General features: G+C 37.3%; 1 long non-coding RNA gene across 2 annotated transcripts in view; it reads right to left on the bottom strand.

Annotated features, from left to right (window-relative positions):
• The window catches only part of LINC02752 (long intergenic non-protein coding RNA 2752), a 68,227-nt gene extending 58,753 nt beyond the window's left edge, over positions 1–9,474 (bottom strand). Inside the window, exons 1-3 of one of the 2 annotated variants that reach the window (NR_187402.1) lie at positions 9,378–9,474; positions 6,910–7,023; positions 4,324–4,335 (exon numbers count right to left, since the gene is read on the bottom strand). This is a non-coding gene — a long non-coding RNA (long intergenic non-protein coding RNA 2752). The remainder of the gene's footprint in view (positions 1–4,323; positions 4,336–6,909; positions 7,024–9,377) is intronic. The other variant, NR_187401.1, reaches the window with a different exon arrangement.
• Positions 9,475–23,359: the final 13,885 nt, after the last annotated feature.

The raw sequence follows: 23,359 nt of genomic DNA, 5'->3' as shown, positions 1-23,359 counted from the left end.
GCCTAGGCAAAGAATTCATGACTATGACCCCAAAAGTAAACGAAACAAAAACAAAAATAAATAAATAAATGGGACTTAATTAAACTAAAAGGCTTCTGCACAGCAAAAGAAATAATCAACAGAGTAAACAGACAAACCACAGACTGGGAGAAAATATTTGCAAACTATGCATCCAACAAAGGACTAATATCCAGAATCTACAAGGAACTCAAATCACAAAGAAAAAAAAACACATAATTCCATTAAAAAGTAGACAAAGGACATGAATAGCCATTTCTCAAAAGAAGATATACAAATGGCCAAAAAACATGAAAAAATGCTCACCCTCCCTAATCATCAGGAAAAGGCAAATTAAAACTATAGTGAGATACCACGTTACTCCTGCAAGAATGGCCATTATTAAAAAGTCAAAAAACAATAGATGTTGGCATTGATGTGGGGAAAAGGGAACACTTATACACTGCTGGTGGGGATGTAAATTAATACAACCTCTATCGAAAACAGTATGGAGATTCCTTAAAGAGCTAAAAGAAGATCTACCATTCAATCCAGCAATCCCACTACTAGGTATCTACCCAAAGGAAAAGAAGTCATTATTATGAAAAACACACTCGTACACATTTGTTTATAGCAGCACAATTCACAATGGCAAAGATGTGGACCAACCTAAGTGCCCAATGACTAATGAATAAAGAAAATGTGGTATATTTACACTATGGAATGCTACCCAGCCATTAAAAAGAATAAAATAGGCTGGGCACAGTGGCTTTTGCCTGTAATCCCAGCACTTTGGGAGGTCAAGGCGGGCAGATCACAAGGTCAAGAAATCAAGACCACCCTGGCTAACACAGTGAAACCCTGTTTCTACTGCAAATACAAAAATTAGCTGGGCGTGGTGGCGTGTGCCTTTAGTCCCAGCTACTCAGGAGGCTGAGGCAGGAGAATCACTTGAAACCGGGAGGCGAAGGTTGCAGAGAGCCAAGATCGTGCCACTGCACTCCAGCCTGATGACAGAGCCAGACTCTGTCTCAAAAATAAATAAATAAATAAATAAAATAAAATAATGTCTTTTACAGCAACTAGGATGGAGCTGGAGGCCATTATTCTATGTGAAGTAATACAGGAGTGGAAAACCAAAAACCATGTGTTTTCACTTATAAGTGGGAGCTAAGCTATGAGTACACAAAGGCATAAGAAGTGACATAATGGACTTTAGAGACTCAGAAGGGGAAGAGTGGGAGGGTGGCTAGTGACAAAAAAAAGTACGCATCAGGTACAATGTACACTACTCAGGTGATGGGTGCACTAAAACCTCAGAATTCACCACTATATAATTCAACCATGTAAAAAAACCCACTTGTACCCCAAAAGCTATTGAAATACAAACACAAAACAAAGCAACAAAGAAATGTGCTGTTTTTAGAAGTACTGTGAGGTGCTCTGTTCCTTAAACACTACTGTGTTGTCATTCTTTCTTTTATAAACTGGAATGTGTTTGAATGTCAATTCAATTAGTAAATGTATAATTGCTGTCTTCATAAACCACGCTTTGACATTTAATATGCCAAACATGACCATTTTATGAGCAAACCAAGTTATCCATAGTACATTTTTATGTTCTGCAGCTATCAACATGGCTTCAGATTTATAGAGTGCTAAAAATGTAACTATATAATAAATATCAATTTTCCCTAAAATTGTCTTTTTTAAATGAAACAGAAAAAATGATATTTCTGCCAATGCCTCTGTTCCAATAGATCTAAAATTCTTGAAAAGTTGAAATTCCTCAAATATTGAGAGTTCTTGTGCAGCCCTGTACAATCACACATAGCAAAATGTGTCTTCAGTTGTGCACTTTTCTGGGAAGCTTGTGGAGTCATCCATATATGCATGAGATTGGGGAAGATAAGCCCACTAACAAATTTTAAATAGCTCTACGGAGCAGTTCTTAGACAAGACCTTGCTGGTAATGAGATGAGGCAGTCTGAGAGTCTGGGCCTCCCTGAGGTCATGCTGGAGCTCTGAGAGAGAAGTAATTATTTTACCATGTAGGGAGGAGTACAGGGATCTGTGGGTGGGAGATGGTTGAAAGCTCACACCTTGCAAATCTCTTTCATCCTCTGTGCCAGGACTGTGGATGGGAACAGACGTTTCAGGTCCTGAAAGCCTTCCCTGGTCCCTTAGAAATCCAAACTGAGTGAGAGGTTGACAGGAGCCTCTGAAAACTCGGAGTATCTCTGAATGAGAGCCACCAATGGGCCAGACAGGGAAGGAGGACAGAAAACATACTTTAAGGGGAAGAAAGAGGACAGGCAATGCTGGATTCAAGAGCAGTTAATGGCTCAGGCAGTCACACCTCAAACACAGTGAATGGGTTTGGAGTGGTGGGGAGGAGGTAGAGCAATGACAGAAATCAGTGAGATCAGTGAGATCAAATGGAAAGCCAAAAACGAACTCAAGTGCATATGGGAATTTAGCTCACAGCAGAGGTCGTTTTTCAAGTGAGTGAGCGAACTGATTATTCAATAAACTATATTGGTACAAAACACCAACACTGGGCCAAAATGAAGTCAGGTTTATACCATGCAGAAAAATATGTATCAGATGAGTTCAAGATTTAAATGTGAATGTGTTTTATAAAAAAAAAGCATAAACGATTACCAAGGTGATAGATACATTAATTAGTTTGATTGTGGCAATCATTTCACCAGTATATGTTGTATATGTGTATCAGAACATCACATTGTACACCTCAAATATATAATTTTTATTTGTCAGTTGGACCTGAATAAAGCTGGGGAAAATAACCATTAAAAAAAATTCAGGAAAAGACGACAGTATATGGGCAAGTTTATAAAACTTTGTTATCCAAAACCTACATACGTGAACAAACCTACGCAAGTGAACAAACCTACGTAAGTGAAGTAAATAGCAAATATACCATCAACATTGAAACTGTAAGGATCTCAGTCTCACACCACAAAGAACTATTATCCTGTAACTGAAATTAAAATTATTTGACTCTAGGAGCTGACAAAGAGAATGCAAAACAGAGCCATGAATACTAAAAGGAAAAAATTATTTAAAATCTTACTGATACCCACCCTACCACATAAATGGGAGTAAGAGGGACCAGGGCTAAAATGGGGCAGAGGAAAACTGTGGAATGTCCCACAGAAAACTACCTTTCCCCAGCGCAAATAACTTCCTGAGCACAGCATGGGCGGGAAACAAGAGAAGATGCCCCTAAGGATAAGGCAAGAGGCCTAGCTGGTGGGAGGAAAAAATAACAAGCCTTTTCAAACCAAAAGCCAGGAATCTCTAAGATTTTATGCAAATATGACTAGCTCACTCCAAAATAGAAGAACATAGCACAGGACAGAATCTGGCCTCAAGTCAGCACAGTTACCCAGAGCAATGAATCCTTGTAAGCCTTTAAGTGTTGTAACTAAAGCTAACATACTTACAAAATACAAGGTGAAATGTATAATTCTTGACATAAAAAGCACGTTAGAAAAAGGTATGTATTATAAGCTGAAACAAAAATCCCAGATTATACCAATAAAATCTTACAAGTGGGGATGCGTGAGGAAGTATGTGTACTAATTTTTTTTTATCTTTCATGGGAGATGGGGCTGTCTGCAGATATTGTTTAATCTATAAAGTTGATAATCTAAGACTAACAGCACAGTCATGTGTCACTTAACAGGGATATGTTCTGAGAAATGTGTTGTTAGGGGATGTCATCACTGTGTGAGCATCACAGAGTGTACTTTCCCTAAACCTAGATGATATAGCCTACTTCGCACCTAGGCTATATGGTAGCCTAGTGCTCCCAGGCTACAAACCTGTACAGCATGTTACTATACTGAATACTATAGGCAATTGGAATACAATAGTAAGCATTTGTGTATTTAAACATAGGAAAGGTACAGTAAAAATACAGTATAAAAGATTTTTTTAAATGGTACCACCTGTATAGGGCACTTACCATGAATAGGGCTTGCAGGACAGGGAGCTGCTCTGAATGAATCAGTGAGTGGTGAGTGAATGTGAAGGCCTAGGACATTACTGTACACTACTGTAGACTTTATTAACACTGTATACTTAGGCTACACTACATTTATTTTTTAAATAAAGTAATTGAGCTACTGTGTTACAACAGCTATAGTGTCACTAGGTGATAGGAATTTTTCAGTTCCATTGTAATCTTATGGAACCACCACTGTATATGCAGCCTACCACTGACTGAAACATCATTATAAGGAACATGGAACATGGCTATTATGTTTAACTATGTTAAGTATATATATGCAGACTTACCAAGTAGTAGAGCTGAATACCATCCAAATTAATGAAGCAGAAAAGATAAAAAAGCAAACAAACATGCAACAATAGAATACTAGAAACTAGCAAGAAAGAATTAAAAAAAAAGCAGAAAATAGAAATTAGATGACAGATAAAAACTAAACACATCTATTACAACAGTAAATGTTAATATGAAAAGTTAACCTAATGCATAAAAAGAATTCTCAGATTAGATTTAATATGAACTAAATCTAGCCATAAATGCTCTATAGAAAAACAATACAACTTTTACTAGATCGCTTTCATTTGCTTTCTAGATCTACTCTGTTACACTCCACTGCTTTCTGAACCAGGAGGCCAACCAATACCAATGTATTCACACATGGCCTTGCCTCCAGCTTCCAGCTGGGTTTGGTCATAGGAAGCACCAGCCTGAGGTCTGAGAGAGGGAGGGAGGGAAGGAGGGAGGAGAGTGAGGTTGGGGCATTATCTCCCTGGCTCCCTTGTGCAGAATCACCACAGTGGGCTGCCTCCTGCCTCCAAGGGCCATAGCTGCCATTAGGCAGCACCTTCTCTTCAGGCTCTGTCAGGCAAAGAAGGGGTGGTAATGTTGCCCAATGGTTAAGTCCAAGGGTGCTACGCTGTCCCTGTGGTTTCTCCACACCCTTGCTCACACCTCTCTAAACAGTCCCTTTATTAAATTCTCATCAAGTTACCGAATTTGAGCATGGCATCTGTTTCCTGCCAGGACCTTGACTTATACACATTCAAACAAAATTACGCATAAAGCTGAAAATAAAAGAATAGGAAAGGAATACTAGGAAAATTTAAAAACAAAAACAAAAAGTCAGGGTTTGTCTTCCTCAGAAAATGCTGAGTTCAAAAAAAGGTCATTAAATGGGATTTAAAAGATCACATTATACTGATGAAGGGTAAGATCCACATTAACGTAAAATTATCTTAAAGCTATATGTGGTAAATTATACAGAATTAAAACATACGAAGCCAAAAAATTATCGGAAATGCAAAGTAAAAGGAGGCCAAATTCCAATAGCAATGAGGTATTTTAATACAGCTTTCTCAGTCTTTAAAGATCAAGTTAAACATTAGTAGGAAAATTAGTAAAATCTGAACAAACTCTGCGATTTAGATAACAGAATTGTACCCATGTTAAGTTCTTAGTTTTTTTCATATATACTGCAGTTATGCTGATTAACATTCAGGAAAGGTAGACAAAGGGGGAACTATCTGTACTAGGTAAGTGTGGGGAAACTGTACCATTTTTGCAAACTTTTCTGTAAATCTAAAATTATTCCAAAATAGAACATTTAGAAAAATACCAAGTTAATAAAAGATAGAAATATATAAAATCTGAATGATGTAGTTAACAATATTGACCCAAGAACAAAAACTACTCTTTTCTTCTCATGTGGTCATAAAATGCAAACATTCTCTATACCTTAAACAAAAATAAACTCAAAAATTCTAAAAAGTAAAAGCATCAAACCACATTATTAACCACAATCCAAAATTAAGTAGAAACAAACCAAAATCCTTGACCATTTTTAAATCTTAAAACTTTCTCTAAGACCCTACATAACTACTAAGTTTAAGAGGTAACTAAAACTACAATTGCAGGAAGTAGCAGCTAATGCTGATTGCATTTTCAATAACCATTTTTTCTTTCTTCCTTTCTTATTTCAAATTTTACCTGATTTTTTAAAATATTCCCTCTTCTCCAAGAAGTCATCTGTTTCAGGTGAGGTAGGTTCCACTCCTGTTTCTAGGGGGTAGAATCTTGTTTGGTCTGAATCTAATCATAGCGGTCTCACTACTATCACTAGTGATCAGAAATGGTCACATGAAACATCCTGACAAATGAACTTTGAAGGGAAGTCAGAAGAATGTCTTCTCACAAAAGGTTTACTTCAATGCTAAAAAGAAACTGTCCCCTTTCTACGTCTGAAAATTGTCATGGGCATGTGACACTCAAAGCTGCACCTTACCAACATGAAGGAAACCTACTTAAGAACAATCCCCATATACTAAATGTGGCAGAACAGAATGATCAGAATAAACCAGCCCTGAAACCCTCCTACCTCAAACTTCTTAGGAAAAACAACTCCTCAAGGCAATTGTCAGTTTTCTGTTATTTGCTACAGAAAGAATCCTAACTTATGTATAAAATATCTGGAATGTAATTAAAAAAAAGAAAATAATTACATATTCAACCCTGTAGGGTCCAGCCAAAGCATTATTCAGAGAAAAAGTCATTCCCTTTCATCTCTTTCGTTCCCGATATATATACTATCTCTAATAGATTAGGCATTTAAATCAAGAAGCTGGAAAAAAGAAAGGCAATATAATGTCAAGGAAAGTAGAAAAAATAATTTAAAAATTCAATGTTTTTTCTGTTGCCAACTTAACTCTGCATATAGGCCTACAACCTCCTTTAAAGTAGAGCATTTTCTCATTCTCAGCTTCTCTATCATCTCTTAAGCTCAGCTTCAGATTTTGTCGCCCTTCTCCTAGTCCCAAGGCGGGAAGGGTAAATAGCAATCCACTTAGCTCCCTAGTACTTCTAGGAAGGTAAGCACTTACCAGGTCACTGCTATATCTTGCTCTTCAAACCAGTCTGTCTGGCTCAGATAATCAAGAGCTGACTGTGATGTTAAGGTTCTTGTTATACAGGAAGGTAGGATCTCAGCTCAAATACTGTAAAACAAGAGCATCAGATGGCACAGATGGGACTCTCTAGAATGGAGTAAGAGAAATACATGCCAAGCCAAAACAAACATATCCCCGTAACTTCTCTGATAAGGATGTTCATCTGTTCCTTAGTGAGGAACCAGTAGATGTTTTCCTCAGAACACTTTCTAGGTCATTTTTAACTGGCTGCATATATTTATGCTGAGGTTAAGGTAGAATGAACTGTATCTAATTCTCATTCTAGAACATGAATTCAGAAATTCTCCCGAAATGCTTTTGTCAATCTATTTAGATCTTACATTAAAATGCTATTTAATTAAAGACATATGTTTGGACTTGGAAAGCCAAATCTGACTATAATAAACAATGTTCTGATCACCAAATGGGCAAAAACAAATAAGCAGATCCCCTGCATCATCATGATCATGATCATCATCATCATCATCATCACCAGAACAATAATAATAGCAGATAACCCTTACTGGGCACATAAACCCTTATTCGCCGTATGACAGAAACTACACTAAGCATTTTACGTGCATCACTTCATTTAATTCTGAAAGATGAGGAAGTAGAAAGTGGGATTCAAACTCAAGTTTGTCTGCTGCCAAAATCCACATTTAACCATAACAATAAAGTAACCAAACCAGGCTTTTCTTTTTTCTATCTGATGCTGCTAATATTACACTTTCACAGTGGTTTCTACATTCATACTCGTAACAAGCCAGTGAAGGAAGAATTATCCCCATCTTACAGACGAGCCTCGAAGATGTGAATAATATTCACAGATGATGTACTGATTAAGTGGTAGAACCAGTACATGGTCTTCCTTCCTTATCCTCTAAAGCCCAGGCTTTTTCCATGCAGTATCTTGTCATGCAAGCCATTTCTCACTTGACTATCAGGCGAACAAGGAAGGTAAGGAATTGTCCCCTGGGATCAACATGGAACTTTTCCCTCTCTGCCTCTTTTTCCCATCCCTGGAAAAAAAAGCAGTTCTGTGCCCTTCACTATTCATTGCTCACCTTCATTATCTTCAGGCAATTTTTTTATCTTGATGATTTTTTTTTCTTTTCCATTTTCTTATCAAGGGTTTGCACACAGGCTATAACTGTGTCACTCAAGATGACAGCCACTTTGGAAGTTTTCCATGCATTAGCACACTATTTAGAGAATAATCAACAGGCCCCAAGAAAAGCATAAATTTTAGCCAAAGCCATTGTTGGAATAGGGAGTTTCCAAGAAGTCAGAGAACTTTTTCAGAAATTCTCTAGTCCTTTTTGAAAGCAGGCTAGAGCAAAGAGATAAATGCCTTCCCTTCTTTCTACTAAATATTGGAAAAGATACTATTTTCCAAGTCTCCTTCCCCAGCTGAAACAGTACTAGCCAGTACCAAGTGAGGAAGAAGTAAGTCCTGCATCTCTCTCTGTAATGTAACATGATATAAAAAAGAAAGATGTACAAAATGTAAAATGTTGCCAAAAAAGTTAAAATCTCAACAAAATGATAGATATCTCAAAAATGCACGTTATCAGTATCTCTTACAAAAACTTTTTGAAATTCCCTAATGCAGGACTATTAGGTTTCCCTCACTTCCCCTGAGTATCATGAGCTCTTTCCCACCTAAGTACCAAAAGACCAACTCATCTCTTGCTAACCATAAGCCAGTTCTCAGAGGAGATCTTGCACTATACTTGTGCATTAAAAAAAAAAGGCCATGATTTTCAGGGGCTAAAGACCTAGGATATGGTGGTGGTCACCGAACTTCTAGTTGGTAAGCACTTCCCTCCTTTCTTCCATAGTAAGCAGAACAGTCTTATTTTAAATTCTGCGGCTATGGTATTACTTTGCACAGTAAGTCAAGCTCAGAAGAGCATCTTAAAAAACTAAGTGGTGCCCCTACTTCTGGCAATGGCAGACTAGGTTATTTGAGTCCAAATCTTTCTCTAAAAACGGTGGAACAATCTAAACAAAATATTTTAAAAATCTGTTTGGAGGCATAGTAAAACTGCTATGATTATAAAAATTTTAGGGAACGGTAAGAATAAAATGGAGAAATACAAGAGGTTAGCTTAGCATTTGAGGCTTCCCTAGAGTTAAGTGCCAATTCTAAATGTAAAAGCAATGGTAGAGAGGCTGAGAAACTGAGTGACGTTTTCAGAAACCACAGAGCTAGAGTGACAAAAAATAAAGTTCATGGTCTTCCAAGAAGAAGGGATTCAGTAAACCCCAAAGGCTTTTGGTTGGTACCGCAAAAGACTGAAACTCTGGAGAAAATGTCAACAAGAAATAGATAATGCTCACAGAGACATACCTGAAACTGGGCAATTTACAGAAGAAAGAGTTTTAATTGGACTTACAGTTCCAAGTGGCTGGGGAAGCCTCACAATTCTGGCAGAAGGCAAGGAGGAGCAAGTCCTGTGTTACATGGATGGCAGCAGGCGAAGAGAGAATGAGGAAGGCACAAAAGCGGAAACCCCTAATAAAACCATCAGATCTCATGAGACTTACTCACTACCACAAGAACAGTATGTGGGAAACTGCCCCCATGATTCAATTATCTCCCACCGGGTCCCTCCCACAACACATGGGAATTATGGGAGTACAATTCAAATTAGATTTGGGTGGGGACAAAGAGGCGAATCATATCAACATGTATATCAAAATATCGTGTTGTACACCTTAAATATATACAATAAAAAATAAATTTTAAAAAACATCCTGGCCCGGCACGGTGGCTCACGCCTGTAATCCCAGCACTTTGGGAGACCGAGGTGGGCGGATCACGAGGTCAGGAGATGGAGACCATCCTGGCTAACGTGGTGAAACCCCTTCTCTACTAAAAATACAAAAACTTAGCCGGGCGTGGTGGCGGGCGCCTATAGTCCCAGCTACTCGGGAGGCTGGGGCAGGAGAATGGCGTGAACCTGGGAGGCGGAGCTTGCAGTGAGCTGAGATCGCACCACTGCACTCCAGCCTGGGTGACAGAGCGAGACTCCATCTCAAAAAAAAAAAAAAAAAGATCCTGACATTAGAGTTATCCCACACAGATTTTAAAATAATTATTTTAATAAACGTAAAGGTTAAATATCAAAATAGAAAAATTTTGGCAGAAAAACTATCAAAAGGAATTAAATGGAAATTCTAGAATTAAAAATTCCAATAATTGAAATGAAGAATTTAATGGATATATTTAGCAGCATATTATAGATAGATGAGAGGGAATTGGTGAACTAAAAGAAAATATAGTTGACTCTTCATATCCATGGGTTCTGCATTCATACAGTCAACCAACCACAGATTGAAAATATTCAAAACAAAACTGCATCTATACTGAACATGTACAGACTTTTCTTCTTGTTAGTACATCCTAAACAATGCAGAGTAACAAGTATTTGCATTACATTTACAATGTCTTACGTATTATAAGTAATCTAGAGATAATATAAAGTACACAGGAGGACAATCCCAAAATAGCAGTCAAGTTATATGCAAATGTGACACCATTTCAACTCAGAGGCTTGAGCATCTATGAATTTTGGTATCCAGAGAAGGTCCTAGAACCAATCCCGCATGGATACTGGGACAACTACATACAGAAGGAAGCATAAAAAGACAAAAAAAATAAGTAAAGAGCAAATGAAAGGGGAAAATATGTGGATAAATTTAAATCAAAATTGAATTAATGGAACAATAATAATATCTTATAATGCTTTAAATATATAGAGAATTATATAATAGTACATAAGAAAGGAGGAGGGTTTAAAGTGTTACATTGGCCAGAAAGTGACGAAAAAGAAAAGGATTTTTTTCTTTATCTCCAGGGTAACCACTTTAAAAGTATATAATGAATGAGTAAATAAAAGAAAAAATAAAAAATAATTTCAAAGAAGGAAATAAAAGAGAAAGAGGAACAGAGAATGAGTGTATTAGTCTGTTCTCACACTGCTATAAAGAACTGCCCAAGACTGCATGGTTGGGGAGGCCTTAGGAAACTTACAATCATGGCAGAAGGGGAAGCAGACACGTCAATTTTCACATGATGGCAGGAAGGACAAGTGCCAAGCAAAGAGGGAAAAGCCCCTTTTAAAACCATCAGATCTCATGAGAACTCATTCACTATTACAAGAGCAGTAACATGGGGGTAACCACCCCCATGATTCAATTACCTCTCTAGAGGTCCCTCCCCCAACACATGGAGCTTACAATTCAGATTACAATTCAAGAGGAGATTTGTGTGGGAACATAGAGTCAGACCATATCAACAAATGAGGCAAATACAAAGATGAAAGTTTTAGACCAAAATATATCAGTAATTGCATTAATTGTAAATGGACTAAAAATTCCAATTAAAAGGAAATATTTTATGAGTAGGTTTTTTTAAAAAATAATCTTTACTTACAATAGAGACCCCAAAACATATGTCCACAGAATGGAGGAAAGTAAAGTGATGGAAAAAGATATACCACAAAAACACTAATCAAAGGAATGCTGGTATAGCTATATTTAAATAGATGTCAAGGAAATAGCATTATTAAAGACAAAAAGAGAGAATTCATAATTATAGAGGAGTCTACCCAACAGGAAGCTATAAGAATTCTATGTATATATGTACCAAATAACGTAGCCACAAAAAACATTAAGCAAAGTAGGCCGAGGTTGTCTAAGACCACAGAAGGAGTTAATAAACAGTCCGTTTAGTTTGCCTTGTACCACCAGTGCCTAATAAAATGTCTAACGCTTTTTAGTTAAACAATAAATGATATTTCTACTTAGGCTTACTCCAATAGAAATTATAATAACACATTCTTAATGCTTGAAACATACACAACAAACATACACACAAACACACGTTAATCTAATTACTATATGATAGTATTTAAAGGCATGGTAGGCTTTGGATTCATAATACCTCAGTTAAATTCCAGCTCCATCACTTACTAGCTATGTGACCTTGGAAGAAATAGCCTCAATGAGCCTGTGTTTCCTCATAGGTTTTTCCAAGTATGAAATAGAATAATATATAAAAAGTACATAGTAATGTCAGCCCCTAAGCAAATACTCCATAAATTGTAACAATTAATAGTAATGATTATACGTTAGAAATTTGAAAATAATACCAAAATAGCAGTCAAGAAGCTCCTCTACGAACTAGGATCAGAAATGGTACTAGAAATTAATTTAGTTTGCATAATTATAAAAATTGGTCCTAAGAATGTTACTGTGGTAGACAAACTTTAAAATGGTCCACATGATTCCCACCTCCTTTAATTAACACTTTTTAATAATTTTTCCCCTCAAATATGGTCAGCAAGTATGACTTGTTTCTAACCAACAGAATGCAGTAGAGATGATGAGGTAGGTACATGATTATGTTTATATGATCATATAGCACCCATCTTGTTAGAGCCTCTCTCTCCATTGCTAGCTTTGAAGAAGAAAGTTACCATTAATCTGACAGCCACAAGGAAATGAATTCTGCCAACTTGAGGGAGCTTGGAAGTGGATCCTTCTCCAATCAAATTTCAGGAAAACCCAGCCTTGGCTGACACCTTGATTGCAACCCTTGACCCACAGAACATGGACCCTTGACTCACAGAAATTATGAGACAATAAATGTGTGTGTGTGTGTGTGTGTCAGTGAGCTTTATTGATATTTAATTCACCCATTTACAGTGTACAACTCAATGGTTTTTAGTATATTTAGAGTTGTGCAACCATTATCTGCTTTGGAGAAATGTCTCTTCATATTCTTCACCCATTTTTAAACTGGATTGTCATTTTACTATTGAGTTTTAAGAGGTCTTTAGGTATTCTCAATACAAGTGCTTTATCAGATATATTATTTGCAAATATTTTTCCCCATTCTCCAGGTTGTCTTTTTGTTGGTGGTGTCCTTTGAAATAGAAAAGTTTTTAATTTTAATAAAGTTCCTTTTAACTATTTTTTCTTTTGTTGCCTGTGCTTTTGGTGTCATATCTAAGAATCTATTGCCTAATTTAAGGTCATGAACACTTATCCCTATATTTTCTCCTAACAGTTTAATAATTTTAGCTTTTGCATTTAGGTCTCTGATTCATTTTGAGTTAATTTTTGCATATGATATAAGGTAGGGTTCCAATTTCATTCTTTTGCATCTGGCTTTCCTGTTGTCCCAGCATCATTTGTTGAAAAGAGTATACTTTTTCCCTGTGAATTGCTTTGGCAATCTTATTGAACATCAACTGACCATAAATTTCATGAAAGTTTATTTTCTTCCTCTTAATTTTATTACATTGATCTACATGTCTATCCTTATGCCAGTTCCACATTGTCTATAGCTTTGTAGTACATTCGAAATTGGGAAGTGGGAGTCATCCAGCTTTGTTCTTTTTCAAGTTTGTTTTGTTTTGTCTTGTTATTTAAACTTCTTGAATTTTCACATAAATTTCAAAATCCACTTGTCAATTTTTGCAAAGAATCATCTGGGATGTTGAGTAGAATTATGTTGAATCTGTACACCAATTTGGGGAGGGTTGACATCTTAATAATATTAAGTCTTATGATCCACAAATGTGAAATATTTTCCCATTTATTTAGATATTCTTTAATTTCTTTCAACAATGCTTGGTAGTTTTCAGAGTATAAATTTTGTACTTTTTTGTTAAATTTATTTCTAAGTGTTTAATTCTTTTTGATGCTCTTCTACATGAAATTGTTTTTCTTAATTTTATTTTCAGATTGCAAGTGTATAGAAATACAATTAATTTTTGCATATTGATATCGGATGCTGCGACCTTGCTGAACTTGATTATTAGTTCTAATCATTTTTTAGTGGGTGCCTTAGGATTTTCTAAAGACAAGCTCATGTCATCAACAAATACAGATAGTTTTATTCTTCCTTTCCAATCTTGATGACTTTTATTTCATTTTCTTACCTATTTGCCCTGTTGAAAACCGAAAAGTACAGTGTTGAATAGAAGTGGTAAAAGCAGATATCCTTGTCTTACCCTAATCTTAGGGGGAAATCATTCAGTCTTTTACCAGTAAGTCTGGTGTTAGCTTTTTTGGTAGGACTTTCATAGATTCTCTTCATCAGGTTAAAGAAGTTTCCTGCTATTCCTGGTTTGTTGAGTGTTTTTGTCATGAAGAGGTGTTAGATTTTGTTCCACACTTTTTTCTGCAATCCTTTGAGATGATCATATGGTTTTTGTCCTTTTTTCTTGATATGGTCATTACATTCATTGATTTTAAGATGCCAAAATGTGAGTTGTTTTAAGCTAGTAGGTTGTGGTAATCTGCTATACAGTACAGATAACAAATACAGCTACAGAATAATAATAATTACAATAGTTAACATTTATGAAATGTTTATTATGTGTCAGAAACTGTTTAAGTGCTCATTACTAACTCACTTAATTCTTAATGTCACTGAGTATTAGAAAGGGCCACTATTATTAACCTTATTATACAGATAGAGAATATGAGGCTCAGGGAAGGTAAGTAATTTGTGTATGACCAGGTAACTATCCATACATAGTAGATGTAGAATTTGGAGCTAGGCAGTTTGACTCAGAATCTATGCTTCTAGGTAAAAAAAATTTTCTTCAAACCATTCAACCAATGGCTTAAGTAGGCATTGGAGAACCAGTTCTCCACACTAACTTCTGCCCTGGTTGAATGCTAAGGAAATTAACCCATTACAGACCATCCCAACAGCTGGACAAAGCTCTCCATGGTGCCAATCTAAAAGTGAAGCTAAACTTCTCAAGAAATGTACCAATATACAAAAAAAAAAAAAAAAAAAAAAAAAAAAAAAAAACCTATTTGTTAATAGAGCTCATTTTTAACAAATAATATAGGGAAAACTGGATATCCACATGCAAAAGAATGCAGTTGGACCCTTACCTTACACCATATACAAAAATTAACTCTAAATGGATCAGAGACCTAAACATAAGAGCTAAAACTATAAAACTCTTAAAAAAAAAAAAACATAGAGGGGAATCTTCATGACAGCGGACTTGGCAATGATTTTTTGGATATAACAAAAGCACAGGCAACAAAGGAAAAAATAGGTCAATTGGATTAGCCCCAAATTAAAAGCTGTGTATCAAAGAACCCAGTGAAAAGGCAACCCATGGAATAGGAGAAAAATTTGCAAATCTTATATCTAATTAGGGGTTATTATCCAGAATATATAAAGATACCCTACAACTCAATAACAGAAAAACAACCTGATTTTAAAATGGGCAAAGGTCTTGAACAGACATTTCCCCAAAGAAGATATACAAATGGCCAATAATCACATTCAAAGATGCTTGGCATCACTAATTATTAGAGAAATGCAAATCAAAACCACAATGAGATACCACCTCAACCCATTAGGATTGGTAGCATCATAAAAACAGAAAATAAAAAGTATTGGCAAGGATGTGGAGAAATTGGGACTCCTGTACACTGTTAGTGGGAATGTAAAATAGTGCAGCCACTGTGGAAAACAGTATGGTGGCTCCTTGAAACATTAAACATAGAATTACCTACCATATGATCCAAAAATTCCACTTCTGGGTACATACCCAAAAGAATTGAAAGCAGAGTCTCAAGAAATATTTGTGCACCCGTGTTCTCAGCAGCGTTATTCCCAATAGCCAAAAGGTAGAAACCACCTTATTGTCCATCAGTTGATGAATGGATGAGCAAAACATGGAACATTATTCAGCCTTGAAAAGAAATTCTGACACACACTGCAACATAGATGAATGTTGAGGACATTATGCTAAGTGAACTAAGCCAGCCACAAGAAGACAAACACTTTATAATTCCATTCATATGAAGTACTTAGTGTAGTCAAATTTATAAGACAGAAGTTAGAGTGGTGATTGCCAGGGGCTAAGGGAGCCGAGAATGGGCTTTTTTTTATAGGTAGAGTTTCAGTTTTGCAAGATGAAAAGAGTTCTAGAGATTGGTTGCACAATAATGTCAATGTACCTGACACTAATGAATTGTACAGTTAAAAGTAGTAAAAATAGTAAATTTTATGTTATGTGTATTTTTACCAAACTTAAAAATTTAGAAAAACACAAAAGAGAGATGTCTCAGGGAAAGTCCTTCAGTGAACAACTTGGGATGGAAGGCAAGGCCTCCCAGAGGCATCTTCCAGAGATCTTTAGAGATGGTGGCAACCTGCCTCCTAAGGAGTGTGGGCCTATAACTGCAGGATCTTGTTTTGCTGAGTTTGTTATGAGAGTTTGAGCCAGAGCTGAATTGCTTGGGACAACAAAGGAGAAACTGCACCCGGCCCAGCATTTTCCTATTCTGCTCCTCCAGAAGGAAGTACTCAGCTTCTTTTCTTGAAAGCTGAACAAATATTTAAAGAGTATTTAGTTGAAGAGGCATCAAATTATCAGCCTGCCTGGGGTGCCCATGTGTCTCAGTCCAGCCCTGCTTCTCCCCATTAGGATATGGCAAAGCCAAGGGCTCTATAGCCAATCTCAGTAATTAGGAAGAGCTAAGCTTTTTGCTGTGTCCACAAACAGTATGGATTGCGGTGTTTCTGCTTAGCTGATCGGAAAATTGTAACACTTCGGCGTCAGTGTTTTCAGCAGCTTATAGCTGAGCACTCATTAATTATGCAAAACAGGCTTCAGGGGACCAATTCTATTGAGTTAATTAATATTGAGTGTTGCTAGCCAATTAGCAGCCTTCTCCCTTATTGCAGAAAGGTTGCTATGGGACATGCCGGGCAAAGCTGGCTTCCCCTACACCTCTGCTTTGACTCCTTCTCCCTTCCATGACAGCACCATTGATGAGGAGGTCCAAAGGCATAGAATTCCCCACCACCACCTGCCTGCATCCTGGGCCCTTTCACTATCCATTTAGACATGGCACTCAAAGTGTGGGCGGCAGATCAGCAGAATCGGCATCACTGGGGATGCTTATTGAAATGCAGAATCTCAGGCCCCACCCTAGACCTAGTGAATTGGAATCTGCAATTTAACAAAATCCCTTGTGGTCCATATGCACATTAAAATTTGGAAAGCGCTGATGTACAAGACCCATCCAAAACCTTGGCCCTCACAATTTCTTGCCCTTCTTAATCCAGAAGCTTGCTGCTCATTTCCCTTACTGATCGCAGACACCCATGAACACATCTAGAAACTTGCATTTCTCCACCACTTTAATTTTACCAGCCTGTAATGCACTCTAACAGTTTTCAAATTCCAACATGCAAATCTCTCATATCTAACAGAGACCTCCAGTGGATTGGCCAGGCCATAATCTCTCAATCTGACTCTCTCCTTGTAGCTTCCTTCCTTTTTTGATGATAGTGTAACTGCCCAGCGGGTTCACCTTGCCTGCTGCCTAGACAGAACTGATTTATCAAGACAGGGGAACTACAATAGAGAAAGAGTAATTCACGCAGAGCTGGCTATGCAGGAGACCGGAGTTTTATTATATTATTACTCAAATCAGTCTCCCCAGGCATTCAGGGTTCAGAGTTTTTAAGAATAATTTGGTGGGTTGGGGAGGCCAGTGAGTAAAGAGTGCTGATTGGTTGGGTCAGAAATGAAATCATAGGGAGTTGGAGCTGTCCTCTTGCTCTGAGTCATTCCTGGGTGGGGGCCACAAGACCAGATGAGCCAGTTTATCAATCTAGGTGGGGCCAGCCGATCCATCAAGTGCAGAGTCTGCAAAATATCTCAAGCACTGATCTTAGGAGCAATTTAGGGAGGTTCAGAATCTTGTAGCCTCCATATGCATGATTCCTAAACCATAATTTCTAATCTTGAGGCTAATTTGTTAGTCCTACAAAGGCAGTCTAGTTCCCAGGCAAGAATGAGGTTTGTTTTGGGAAAGGACTGTTATCATCTTTGTTTTAAATTATAAACCATAAACTAAGTTCCTCCCAAAGTCCCATTCAGCCTACACCCAGGAATGAACAAGGACAGCTTGGAGGTTGGAAGCAAGATGGAGTTGGTTAGGTGAGATCTCTTTCACTGTCTCAGTTATAATTTTGCAATGACGGTTTCAATAGCACTTTAATCCTTCCTTCTTTATTATCCTCAACTCTACTGCCCCATGTAGATCCCACTACAAATGCTAAAGCTTTAGTGCTGCTAAGAAATCTTCTACACGTCCCCAGCAGCTTTCTCCCCCATTCTGTAACTAATGGGCTCTTTTTGCCCACTGCCCAGATAGAGCTGATTAGTGAAGAAAGGGCAGTTGCCATAGAGAAAGAGTTTAATACATGTAGAGCCAGCTAAACAGGAGACTGGAACTTTATTATTACTCAAATCAGCCTATCTGAAAATTCAGAGGCTAGGATTTTTTTAAGATAGTTTTTTGTGTGTGTTTTTTTTTTTAAGAAGGCAGGGGGCTAGGAAACAGGGGGCTATTTTTTTTTAAGATGGATTTTTTTAAGAAGGCAGGGTGGGGAATGCTGATTGGCAGGGATGAGCTCAATTGGTTCCTGGGTGGAAGCTGTAAGAACAGACAAGCCTGCTTACCAGTCTGGGTGGTGCCAGCTGACCCACCAGAATGCAGGGTCCGAAAAATATCTCAAACACCAATCTTAGGTTTTACAAAAGTAATATTACCCAGATGAGCAATTGGGAAGATTAAGAATCTTGTAGCCTCTGGTTGCATGGCTGCTAATCCATAATTTCTAATATTGTGGCTAATTTGTTAGTTTTACAAAAGCAGTCTTCCTCCCTCCAGGTAAGAAGGAGTTTATTTCAAGGAGAGACTGTTAACATCTTTGTTTCAAAGTTAACCTGTAAACTAAATTCCTCCCAAAGTTACTTCGGCCTACACCCAGAAATGACCAAGGGCAGCTTGGAAGTTAAAGGCAAGATGGAGTCAGTAAGGTCAGATCTCTTTCACTGTCATAATAATTTTTGCAAAGGCTGTTTCAATTCAAGCCAGTATACTGCCATGCCTCATTTCATGCCCTCTTCTTGATGCAAGGAAGGCAAGCCCCAAAGTGGAGCTTAGCCTCTGAGTGTTCTTGGCTTTTCCCAGGAAATAATTCAAGGGCAAGCTAGAGGCAGAAGAAAATAGCTCTATTGAACAGACAGTGTTACAGCTCCAATGGTGTTACAGCTCTGTGCTCCTGCAGAGCAGAGCTACCCCATAGACAGAGAGTAGCAGCTCAGTACAGTTCTGCAGTCACATTTATACCCACTTTTAATTGCATACAGATTCAGAGGCAGTTTATGCAAAAATTTTTAGGGAAAGAGTATTAACTTTTGGGTAACTGGGACATTGCCATGGAAAGGGGTGGTAACTCCCCGGTGTTGCCATGGCAACAGTAAATAGATGTGGCATACTGGTTGGCATGTCTGATTGAAAGCTGCTTCCATCCTGGCCCTGTTTTAGCTAGTCTTCAATCTGGCCCAGTGTATGAGCCCCACCTCTGGAGTCAAGTCCTGCTTCCTACCTCAGTCTCATCAGAGGACCTCTCCTCTTATCCCACAGAGAATTCCAAGCCATCCAGACCACATTCATTTCTTGTCATCTTCAAACTTACCTGCATCTGCATTTATCTCTTCTTCTTCCTTCTCTCCTCAATGAAAGAGGTGACCCTCCTCCCATCTAAATCCAATGACTTGAAGCTCCACGTTCAATATCCTTCAATGGCTCCCTACAAATCTCCAGAATAAGGTTCAAACTCTGTCTCCCTGGTTCCTGACTGCTTTTCTTGCCCTTCACCCACTGTTCCTCCCTAAGCCCTCCTCCTGCAGCCCTTGCACTCATTTGGAGCTTATCAGGTCCTACCAATTTATTGGAAGTCCCTCAAGTGTGGCATGTTATTTCCTATCCCCAATAATTGCAAATTCTGTTTCTTCTACCAGGAATGTCTTCTGGTTAATTGCTACTTTTCCTGTAAAACTCAATTCTACTTTAATCTCCTCAGATTTTTTTTTTATCATCCTTCTAGCAATATGCCTTGGTACCCTTTCCATATACTATTACCAGTAATATCTGAAATAACTCTCAGTGCTTTCCATGTGTCTATGCTAAGTACCTAACCTGCTTAACCTCATTTAATCCTCATAATAACCCTCTGAAGAAAAGTTATTATTATCCCTCTTTTACAGTGGGGAAACTGAGGTTCAGAGACTTATAAAAAGTAACTTATAAAAAGTAAATCTCTGCTGGTATGTCTGTTTCTACCTGCTGCTCTTGGTAAAGGCAATGAGGTCTCTTCAGTCAGGGGCCGTGCCTTTCCTCTTTGTATACTCCCAGTGCAGACCACAGGGCCATGCATGTTAGCTTCCACAGTGAGCAAGAGTATCTACTCACCTCGGCTGCCATAATAAAATATCATAGACTGAGTGGCTCAAACAACAGAAATTTATTTCCTCACAGTTCTGGAGGCTGGAAAGTCTGTCCAAGATCAAAGTTTCAGTGGGATTTAGTTTCTGATGAGAGCTCTCTACCTAGGTCGCTGATGACCATCTTCTTGCTGTGTCCTCATGTGGCAAAAACAGATAGATCTCTGGTGTCTCTTCCTCTTCCATAAAGACATCAGTTCTGTTACATCAAGGCCCCACCTTACAACCTCATTTAACTTTAATCACCTCCTTCAAGGTGCTGTCTCCAATACAGTCACAGGGTGGCTTAGGGCTTCAATGTGAATTTGAAGGGGATGCACATTCCATTTACAGCAATGAGCTACAACTGCTCCACTGTTTCAGGGACTCTGAGGCACAAATCTGCCAGGAGTGGAGGAGTATCTTAGATCTTCTAAGGTATTGGAAGTACCTGGGACGATCCAGGAAAACATCACAGAGAAGGGGTATTGATGGACACTTAGACTATTGAAGGAAGCTAAAATACTTTACCCCAAAATATACTTCTTTGACATATTTCAAGATGCGTTATTCAGAAATGCTGGAAACACAGAATAGCTAAAAAGCTGCCTTTCATGGAGATTTGTCTGCTTTTCACATATATAAGCATTGGACCCTGGAAACTGCAAATGCTGTGTTGGCAGTATTTGTTAATGGGCTCCATCCTGAGCTCAGTGTTCCACCTGGAAAACAGACTAAATTAGAAGCTACCTATCTAAATGAAATTGGCCTGCTTATAAAATACTGTGGTGAATCCCTACAATGCTATGTTACCTTGGTTATCTATTTATCTTCCTCTAACATAACCAAACTCCTTCTTTAGAAAGCCTATGCTCTCTGTGCTTTGAAGTGTAAATTTGCTACCCTGTTTTCTCTAAAACTCCGTAAAGGCTTTGGCCACGTGGGACAGATAAACTTTAACCTGTTCCATTTACAGATTGACAGTTTAATCCAACCACCCTTTTAAACTCATGAGTTTTACCTGTCATATGACTAAAATTTTTCAATCAAAACTATACAAAAATTTTGCCTATCATTTGAAGTATACACGTGTTCATGTCTGTGTTTATATAGTGTCTACATGGTACCAAAATGACTTGGAAACAATTTAGTATTCATAAATTACATAAATAAGCCCATATGCTTTTCAAGTTGATGTGACTTTAGTAATTTTTGGTAAGTAAAGTTAGCTGTAAAATTGTTGGTAAAATAAAATAAGAATGTCTTCAGAATTGTCAGTATTAACTACAAATCAAACATTTCATGTAGTACTAATAAAATATAGTATTTCATGTAGTATCAATATAGATTTTCATGTAACATTAATAAGATACAGTAAGAGATTTTCGTTTGAGTAAACTGAAAAAAAAGAGGGGGTGAGAGTGTACATCATGCTTTCTCTATCAGGTCTTTTGATTGTTCAGAAAAGCAATTCTCCTATCAAAGTCACCTATCATTTTTTCCTAGGTCTATTGGTTGGACAGATTTATGCTGTCTTTGCTAGATGTTTTAAGGATGTTTCAATTGTTTATTAAGCAATAAAACCATTGCTTCTGTAATACTTTTGATAATTGCTTAATTTGTCCATTAGCTTATGTCTTTGGTTTTGAGCAGTTAGATTCCAGGGTCTCTACAAGTAGTCATTGTGAGGCCTGGGGACATATGTGTGTACATAGTGCCTGGGCCACCAGCTGCAGGGCAGAGCCAGGCCTAATATCATCTCATTCTCCTGGCCTAGCTCTGTCTCCCAGCCAGGCTGAGAGAGGTCAGATCCTCCAGGCATTGTCTTCACAGCTGTCTTCTGTCCTGAGCTCTGTATCTGATACATAACAATTAAAATTGCTTACTTCCTAGGTTTTTCACTGAAAGTTAGGGTTACTAAGAATTAAAATTGTAGTTAATATATTTAATTACAGCTACAAGATATAAGAGAAAGAATCCTATATACAAAGGAAACTAGGATGTGTTTTTGGTGAAGAAGTTTACAAGGAAGACATGAGAATGTGGTATTTTTTTCAAGGAAAAGTAATTTTGTCTAGTTTAGAGGTTATTTAAAATTTTTTTTAGTGTGAAGGAAAAACGCATGATAGATAAAACTGAATGAATATAGAAAGTTGAAGAAAGAAAGAGAATGGGAAAAATTATAAGAGGTTATAAAAGGCTTAGGAACTCTTTTGTGTGGTCAAAGCCGATAGAGATTAGACTGATCTGTTTTTAAGGTTTTATTAAAATTAGTTTTAGTATTAATAATACACTGATGCAAATGTAGAACTTTGTTTTCTCTTTTGAACTAGATTTTCATGTAGTATTAATAAAATATGGTAAAAGATTTTTGTTTACCTTTTGAGTAAACTGAAAAAAAGAAGTGGGGAGGGCGGTTGTACATCGTGCTATCTTTGTTAAGTCTTTTGATTGGAGAAGCAAGTCTCCTATCGAAGACTAAAGATACCTTTGCTTTTTAGAATCCATTAATTATAACTTTGGCTAAATAAATATTATTTTACAGTGACCCGTGATCTTATTTTGATTAAGTGTATTATACTTTTGGTATTTGACAGGCTTCCCAAAATCTAACCTCAAAATTCTAAGATTAAGTCTTTTTGACCTTGCACTACCTTCTTGATCTTCCAAAAAGGGCCCCTGTAAGTCCAAGAGAGGCATCAAGTTTATTTGGTTTGTTAAATCATTGTCAAATAGAAATAATGTTTATTTTTTAGTTATGTTTGTATAAACGTGTTATTAATGTCTTCTGAAATTGTATGAGATTCCTAAAAACCTGATGTGTCTTGATACATGTTATCAGACATATTATTATTATGTAAAATTGTCATAGGCCACAGAAAATAACCAAATTTCTTTGTTAATTCTGTCTTTATGACCATTTTAAATCTTGTCCATAGTAAATTGTTTTATGCTGATGCTTCCTCTAAAAGATCACTACAAGCAAGTATAATCCTAGGTTATGTCTTTAAGGAGGTTCTTGGAAAGGTTGAATAGATTCTGAC

This window comes from Homo sapiens, chromosome 11, assembly GCF_000001405.40.
Source record: "Homo sapiens chromosome 11, GRCh38.p14 Primary Assembly".
Classification (NCBI taxonomy): Eukaryota; Metazoa; Chordata; class Mammalia; order Primates; family Hominidae; genus Homo; species Homo sapiens.
This window is presented reverse-complemented; position numbering and strand designations above follow the sequence as displayed.